Below are 8,367 nucleotides of genomic sequence, written 5' to 3'. Positions count from 1 at the left end.
AAAATTTTAAGTCCCTACATATGTTAAAAATCTAATCTCACTGCTTTGGGATATTATCATGCTGTCAGATTACTATCTAAGATACCTAGAATAGGTGTCTCACTGAAAAGAAGTGATGATAGTGTTGCATCCTTAGTCCTGATCTTAAAGGGAATACTCTCAATATTTCATTATTAAGCATTATGTTTGCTGGGAGTAGCAGACTTGATAGATTTCATCAAGTTAAGGAATTTAACTTTTCTTTATATTTTTGCTAAGAAGTTCTGTTGTGAATACATGTTGAATTTTATTGAAAACTATTTCTGCCCCTATTCAAAATTTGCTTTTATTTTTTTCTCTTTTGCTTTGGTCCTATATTGAATGATAACCAATGATTTTAAATATTTAACCAATCTTTCATTTATTACATAATTACCAATTGGCCATGAAATGTTATTTTTCCAATATGCTGCCAAGGCCATTTTTTAATATTTTGTTTAGACTTTTTGCATCTATATTTGTAATTGAGTTTGACCTGTAATCTTTCTTTCTTGTGCTATACTTGTCTACTATAGAAATAAGGATAATACTCCATAAAATGAGGTGAGGAGTGTTCTTTTTTCTATTATATAGAAGAATTTGTATAATATGAGGATTATGTGTACCTTGAATATTTGGTTGAATTAGCCTGTTGTATCAGAGTTCAATCAAGGAAGCAAATCATTGAGTACTATGTAATAAAAGTAATTTATTATAGAAATTGAACCTTACATAATTGCAAGAAGAGCTGGGAAAATAAGGTACAGGAAGGGGATTTGGAGGATTAGAACAAAGTCACTGATCGGCACTCCGATGCAATGGGATGCATGGACAGGTTGGAGTTGGCAGGGAAACCCATGAAGTCAAGCACTCCCCACTTCCCAAGTGGAAGGGAGCGTCCAGTGGAGCAGGCAGGAAAGTCTATCTATGGAAGGATGCTGCGTCTGTGTCTGGTGGTGGGCCTGGAATCATCAGTGTGCATCAGAGCCAACAGTCAGGAAAAAGAGATTTAGAAAACACTAAGGAAGGGACAGTGGTGGCAATCCGCAGGCTGACAGCAACCACCACCAGCAAAAATGAGGATGAGCTGGCACCTGTGCATCTGTCTTTTGCTGCATCTAACCACAGTAACCAACTGTATCCCAACGATATGCAGGGATGAAAGTCTGGGAAACAGTTACAGCTTACCTGGTTCACAAAGTAGAAAGCTGCCAGGCATGTAAAGCCTGGTGTTTTCCTTGTTGCTAGCATATGGCCTCTAGCTACAGAAACCCTGTCAAGTTCCAAACAGGAAAGTTTGGAATTCCTGCTTCAGAATGAACCAATGCGGAATAGGGTTTCTCATGTAAAGACTTAAAGAATAAAGAGGAAATAAAAAGTAAAAGAAAACAAAGCAAACCATAAAATCTTGCCTGTCACAGCTACTTAAATTGACTAGATATTTTCTGTTTCTTTCAGCCTTTTGTTGGTTTTGGTTGCATGTGTATGTGTGTTTTTTAAGGATTTATAATTTAGTGCTGCTATTACATTTTCAAAGATCACACAATAATCAGTTATTCTCATGAAAAGAACATCAGTTAGAAATCAAGGCTAATAGTTGGACTGGAATCATATGGTTTCAAAAGAGTACAGTGTATTAAGCCTTTATTAGATGCTAGAAAAGAGGCCAATATGCTCATTTTTTACATAGTAGGTGATATTTAGTCAAACAGAAGCTCAATCAGGCGTTGCGCGCAATGAGACGATGAGAGTTAGGGAGGAAAAGTATTCAGTCTGGAAAAAACACAAATCAAGTTTTTACATGAAAATGCTGTTCTTAAAACTTGAATTTTTAAAGGAAAGAGGACATTACTGATAAAGATGTGAAGTTGCAAGAAGAAGATATCTCTGCAGGGTGCCTTGGTGATTAAAAAACACAAAGTGTGTTTTTTCTTTAATCCGACCAGGAGCTGGTAGATAGCCTAGTCAAGGACTTAGCAGGGTCCCAGTTTCTAAGGTACCAGAGTCATTAAGAAGGAAACAAGGATTTTTCTGGTACAAAGATAATGGTATGTTATGGGTAGCCGTGTTCTCATGTCATTTCTTTTGTCATCATTGAACCCCTAAAAGAAAAAGGTGCTAAAATACAAAAATTTAATCTAAACCCAAAAGTGAGCTTTTGGAGGAAGAAAAAATATTCACACTTAGGTAAAGAAAACCTTGGGGGAAATTATGGTTATTATTTTTCTGAGGCCAGTGACTCAGCAGAAATAGACAAGTCTTCTGATCCTCCAGGATATTGTCAATGAAAGCAAAACCGAATATAGAAAAATCTAAATTAGCTGGGTGAGGTATCATACTGAATAATTAACTAATATCCACAAACCTCAAGTCATCCTCCCATCACCAAATCTTTACCAAAATTCCTATAAAGTATCCATTTGAAAACAGGTACTTCAATTTCTTTTTATTCTGATGTCTGGTATCACCAAAGTACAAGGGGTTGAGAAATGAAAGATAAACAAAGGGACTAGTTAATGCATAAACTGAATGATTCAAAGCCCCCAAAATTTAAAGTTACCATATCAGGTTGTGTTATCTGTAGTAACAATATCTTGGCTGCAAGAAAAATATTTAATTAGAACACCATGTGAAATTTTAATCTACAGAGTTGTAGATTAAAAAATTTTTTTAAAAGTTACAAGGCTGGGCACCATGGCTAATGCCTATAATCTAATACGTTGGGAGGCTGAAAGTCAATCACAATTCATTTTGCAAAATTACCAGCACGACCTTGCTTGAGGCCAGGAGTTCAAGACCAGCCTGGGCAACATTGTGTGATCCCCATGTCTACAAAAAATAAAAATAAAAACCTTAGCCAGGCATGGTGGCCTGTGCCTGTGGTCCTAGTTACTCGGGAGGCTGAGGCAGGAGGATTGCTTGAGCCCAGGAGTTTGAGGCTGCACTGAGCTATGATTGTGCCATTGCACACTCCAGCCTGGATAACAGAGTGAGATCCTATCCTCTCTCCGGAAAAAAAAAAAAAACGAAAAACAGAAACATCAGCAAGCTTGACAAATCATTTTGGTTCAACTCTAGTACTGCCTTAGACTATAATTAACTACTTAATCAGGCATACAATAAAATGTTTATGTTTTTGGTGATTTTATTTAAATAATTAGAAGAAATTCATCGTTGTCTATAATGAAAACAAATCAGGCAATTTACTTACAATCTTGTAACTGAAAATACATACAAATTCTGTGCAATCACACCAAGAGGGAAAATTCTGTAGGGGAAAAGGACAGTAATGACTAAGAAACTCCGAAGCCTCCTGTGTAATATTTTAAAAATAAAATGTTTTCATTCAAATATTTTAAAAAATAAGCCATCTAATTCTGAAGAAATCAGTTTCTAAATTACATTTTTCATTGATTCATCACAACTCATTTTGCAAAATCATCAGCATGGACCACGCCAATGAGGAGTTAAATGCCTACACTGTATCTTAACGGTATTGTAATATTCCAATCATTTCATGAAACTGATATAAATGTTCTGTCCAGATCAAAGAAATTACTTTGTAACTGACCAAACCAGTGTGACTGTCTGCTTTAACCCCTAATTTCTTCTGGGGCTGCAGGAACAACAAAAACAAAAATCTATTTGTATTGACTGCTGAAGACAACACAATTTACAAAGCACTGTTGTCCCAATTTGGGTTTCTAATAAGTTACCTAGTGATTCTCCCAGTACTCTTACTTGGAAATAAGACTGCAGTGAGACTGCTTAAAAGAGCAAACAAAAGCACAACTACGTATCTGTCTCCAGGCATTGAGTAGGTGATTAGTCGTAGAGATTGTGGAACCAAAACCTATAGTTTTGCTCTACTTTTGAAAGAAAAGATACTGTGCATCGACATAGTTCATTCTTCTTGACTTTCCTTTTAATTCCAGTTTTCACTGAGTCAGCTCCATTTGGTGTGGTGGGTCCAGGGCCCTTTGTTGCCATAATGGGTTAGCTGATAGGAGAGAATGGGGCTTCTCGACACCCCCTTCAAGGGTCTGTGTCCCATAGGAGGGCATATGAAAGCTTCGCTCCATTACCTGGGGACAGGAGCCCTTATCACTGGATACTGGAATCCAGCAGCCTTGCTCTGTGCCCATTCCACATAACTGGGGCTCCTGCCTCCATGAAGTTGGTTGCATTGACCCTATATGAAAGACAAAAGAAATTTCAATATTCATATCATTAACAATAGATAGGCAAGACAGACCCTAAACGGTAGTGGTTGAAGAACTGGCCTGAAAATGAGACACAAAGATAACCCATTTTCAAACTACTCTAGACACATTTTTTTCTCTTTTTTTTTTTGATAAGCATCTCACTCTGTCATCCAGGCAGATTGTGCAGTGGCACAGTCACAGCTCACCACAGCCTCTTCCTCCTAGGCTCAGGTGATCCTTCCACCTCAGCCTCCTGAGTAGCTAGGACTACCCGGCTAACTTTTGTATTTTTTATAGAGACAGGGTTGCCATGTTAGCCAGGCTGGTTTTGAACTCCTGGGCTCAAGCGATTCGCCCACCTCAACCTCACAAAGTGCTAGAATTACAGGTATGAGACACCACACCCCACCCTGAGCCCAATTTTTAAAAAATTAAAATAGGCCAGTGCAGGGGCTCATGTTTGTAACTCCAGCACTTTGAGAGGCTGAAGTGGGAGGATGGCTTGCACCCAAGAGTTCAAGACCAGCCTGGGTAACATAGGGAGTCTCCATCTCTACATAAAATAAAAAACTAGCTGGGCATGGTAGTGCATGCCTGTGGTCTCAGCTACTTAGGAGGCTGAGGTGGGAGGATTGCTTGAGCCTGGGGAGGCCAAGACAGCAATGAGCCATGACCAAGCCACTGTACTTTAGCCTGAGTGACAGAGTAGGACCTTGACTTAAAATAATTTTTTAAAAATTAAAATAGTCTTGGTTGGCATCTTAAAATTTTTTTAAAAAAATTACAATAGTCTTGGTTGAGGTGATTTAAAGAACCTGACACATTGCTCTTTAGCTTTTACTGTGTACTTCTGTCTCCCCATCTGGACCACAAATGACTTGAGAGTAGATAGAGCTCAGGTTTTTTGTTTTTTGTTTTTGAGATGGAGTCTCTATCTTTGTTTTGAGATGGAGTCTCACTGGAGTGCAGTGTTGAGATCTCAGCTCACTGCAACCTCCATCTCCCAGGCTCAAGGGATCCTCCTACCTCAGCCTCCTGAGTAGCTGGGACTACAGGTGTGCACCAGCATGCCAGGCTAATTTTTGTACTTTTTGGTAGAGACAGCGTTCCACCATAGAGACAGGCTGGTCTCATTTGGTAGAGACAGGCTGGTCTCAAACTCCTGACCTCAAATGATCTGCCCACCTTGGCCTCCCAAAGTGCTCGGATTACAGGTGTGAGCCACTGTGCCTGGTCTGAATTCAGATTTTAGGTGTATTTCTTTTCTTTTCCCCTGGCATAGTCAGCTGCCCCTAGCATGTACTCTGCACTTAACCTGTGTCAACTGATGTCAGCTGAGCTCAGTGAAGATGGTTTTATGGAACTACACTAGTATTGTGTTGTAATGAGTTTTCCAGGAGCAGAGAAGAGACTGGCTCAGAGCCAAACTTGATCTTTTATTTCATTCCTCACTCAATCTCCCCCCACCCCAATCTCTATGCGCATTTTCACCCCAGGCATTTATGAGACAGCTGGACATGATTGGGGATGTGATCACTCATGCTGGGAGATAGTTATATGAGTGGCCCACAGAGAATGGGTCAAATTGTTTGCAGTACAGTGCGGGGGGAAAAAAACAACAGCAAAAGAGACATTCTAATATATTCCTGAGTACTCAGCTAACTGTAATGAGTCCTTAGTTCTTTTCTAAGTTTAACCAAATTCCTGTAAAATCGTTGTGCTATTAGCTTGCAAAATTACATTATATGTGCCTCTATAGTGGGTTACCATTGTAAGAATTATGCACTTTTAGCTGCTCAAGGAAAAGTAGTAACTACAAATATTCCATTACTTTTTAATAGTGCTACCAATAACAATAAGCACTGAAGCAAATTTTTGAAAATGCTGAATTTTTTCATTATCAGGGGAAAGTAATGATCCATATAAAATACTATACTATTTATTGTAGTTTTCATATTCAATTTTTAAGTGTACCTTAAATATCCAGGCCTTCTTCAAATTAGGTAATAAAGTTGTACTGAATTCAGTATTTGGGGTTTCATGGCAACATAGGTATGAGAAGGGAATTTAGAGTGAGTTTTCCAAAACAAGAAGCCTATGTTCTTTCCAGAAAGAAATCTGAGGAGGAGGTTATGATAATAAGCACATTGAAGAAGGAAAAATATAGAAAATTCAATTGGAGTTGATATTTCATTAGCTCCTTTCATTAGCAGAGGAGCTGTTTTTGTTGGCTAAAAGTTTCTCTAAACCTTTCCAAAGGCTCACGACACAAAGGCCTGTGAAACAATGTCCTCTGGCCTGTGAAACAAAACTCAACCTGAGACCCAAAACCAAAAGGCTGATCATAATACAACTCTTAAGGGTATCTGAGTTCATTTCTATCTGAAGTAGACTGAGTTCCTGAGAACCTGGGTTGATTTTATGGTCTCTCCACAAGTGGCTTGGCTGGACTTCACAGACAGCCAGGCGTCTGGCTAAGGTCATGCCCCTGATAAGACCTGAATACTCTGAAATCCCCAGGACAATCCTCAGATCAACTTAAATTTACAGAAACACTTCCCACTAGATGGGCTGAACATGGAACATGTTTTCTTGGAGCCATTTACAACTTAACTGGGACTATACCTACAGCTACCAGTATAGATCCTGGACCTTAAGAATGACCCCAAAACTCAATTCAAATCAAGGAGTCATCCATTGTGTTCTTGCTCAAAGTGCAAGAACACGGGCTGCCCTGTGACTAGAGTTTTGAGTGAACGTGGTAACCTCATATAAGATAGAACTCCAGTGCAAATCAGGTCCATGGCATTTCAATACAGCCCAGCTATTCACATAGCTTATACAATTTAGTTATTTTGTTTGTGTGTGTGTGTGTGGTTAAATGAGACTTTTCATTGAAAAACAGTCAGGATCTAAGTAAAAATAACCATTCACCAGGAGCCAGGGATAAAAACTGACCATCTGCTGCCTGGCCATCCTCACCAGCCACTGGTTGACCCCCATTCTTGAGGTCTTGGTGTTCTTTTATAACCACAAACTGCAGACAACAAAAAGGAGGGAGAGAGGATATTGTTAAAATTCACAAATTATCTCAACGTACATTGAATCAAAGTCTATGGCTTTACGATGTTCATCCTATGGAAAGTGAAAGTCAGAAGAAAGGCCCTGTGAAGTTAGTCTTTCTATCTAAAGAGAGATTCAACATTCAGTGAGGAGCCTTGTGTTACTTTGTCTTAAAGCAACTAGGCACACCAATATGTTAACTGAAGAATCTATTCTAATTATGGAATCTCAGCTTTTAGGTCACGGATCCCTGGAGCCACTGATTTACCATAAGCAATCCAAGAATCCATAAGTATTCTAAGAACTGCCCATAGGCCAGGCAAATAATATCTAATATATGTGTGTGCTACAACTTTTCATACACACACACGCACACACACATTAATAACACTCATTTAAACATGCTACCAAGTTCTGAGTAATTTGGGGCCATTAAAGGTAGTAATAATTACCAGTGCAATGACAATTTTGCAAGCTGGTTGAACAGCCTAGGGACCTAGAATTTTAATAGGAAGGAACAGAAAACAACATTTCTCTTCAGTCAACAAAATGATTACTTTTGTCATTATTTGTATTATCAAAAATTGATTGGGCACTTGCAATGCAGGCTGACCAGAGTTCACTGGCTCACATTCACTCTAGATAGATTAGATATTAAAACAGATCCATGCTACAAGGAAAGAAAAGAAGTGACCCCATACAACAGGACAAAGGACATCATTTGGTGAAGTCCTTCCTTGTCAATCAGTAACTAGTGCAAGGACTGCCCCAAGGTTTTGGCCGATCACGCTTCATTGGTTCAGAAATGGGCGCTCCACAGAAAGGAGCACACAACTCAGAAACAACAGAAAGAGGAGTAGAAAACAATCTCTTTGCCCATATTTTCCTTTGAGAAAGGTGTAGAAAGGGATGATGACTGGGGTCAATTAGGCAGAAGGCAGGGAAATGTTGGTAAGGGAAGTGTGAATCCACAGAACATGTATTTTCATTTTCTTATAATACAAATCATGCTTCATCTCCTCCTCATTGATGATCTCCTGCAGCAACACACTGCAAAATCAACACGCAACCCACTGTTTAA

At 39.0% G+C, this 8,367-nt stretch overlaps 1 protein-coding gene across 4 annotated transcripts in view; it reads right to left on the bottom strand.

The window, feature by feature from the left end:
• The window catches only part of EGF (epidermal growth factor), a 100,884-nt gene continuing 94,162 nt past the window's right edge, over positions 1,646 to 8,367 (bottom strand). For 3 of the 4 annotated variants that reach the window (NM_001963.6, NM_001178130.3, NM_001178131.3), the window contains 2 exons: positions 7,182 to 7,260; positions 1,646 to 4,210 (listed from right to left, as the gene is read on the bottom strand). In NM_001963.6, the coding sequence (NP_001954.2) occupies positions 3,957 to 4,210; positions 7,182 to 7,260 (333 nt within the window). In that variant the 3' untranslated portion in view covers positions 1,646 to 3,956. The remainder of the gene's footprint in view (positions 4,211 to 7,181; positions 7,261 to 8,367) is intronic. The other variant, NM_001357021.2, reaches the window with a different exon arrangement.

Source organism: Homo sapiens, chromosome 4 (assembly GCF_000001405.40).
Source record: "Homo sapiens chromosome 4, GRCh38.p14 Primary Assembly".
In the NCBI taxonomy this organism is placed as follows: domain Eukaryota; kingdom Metazoa; phylum Chordata; class Mammalia; order Primates; family Hominidae; genus Homo; species Homo sapiens.
The sequence above is the reverse complement of the archived record's forward strand: the minus strand, read 5'-3'. Positions and strand labels throughout refer to the sequence as shown.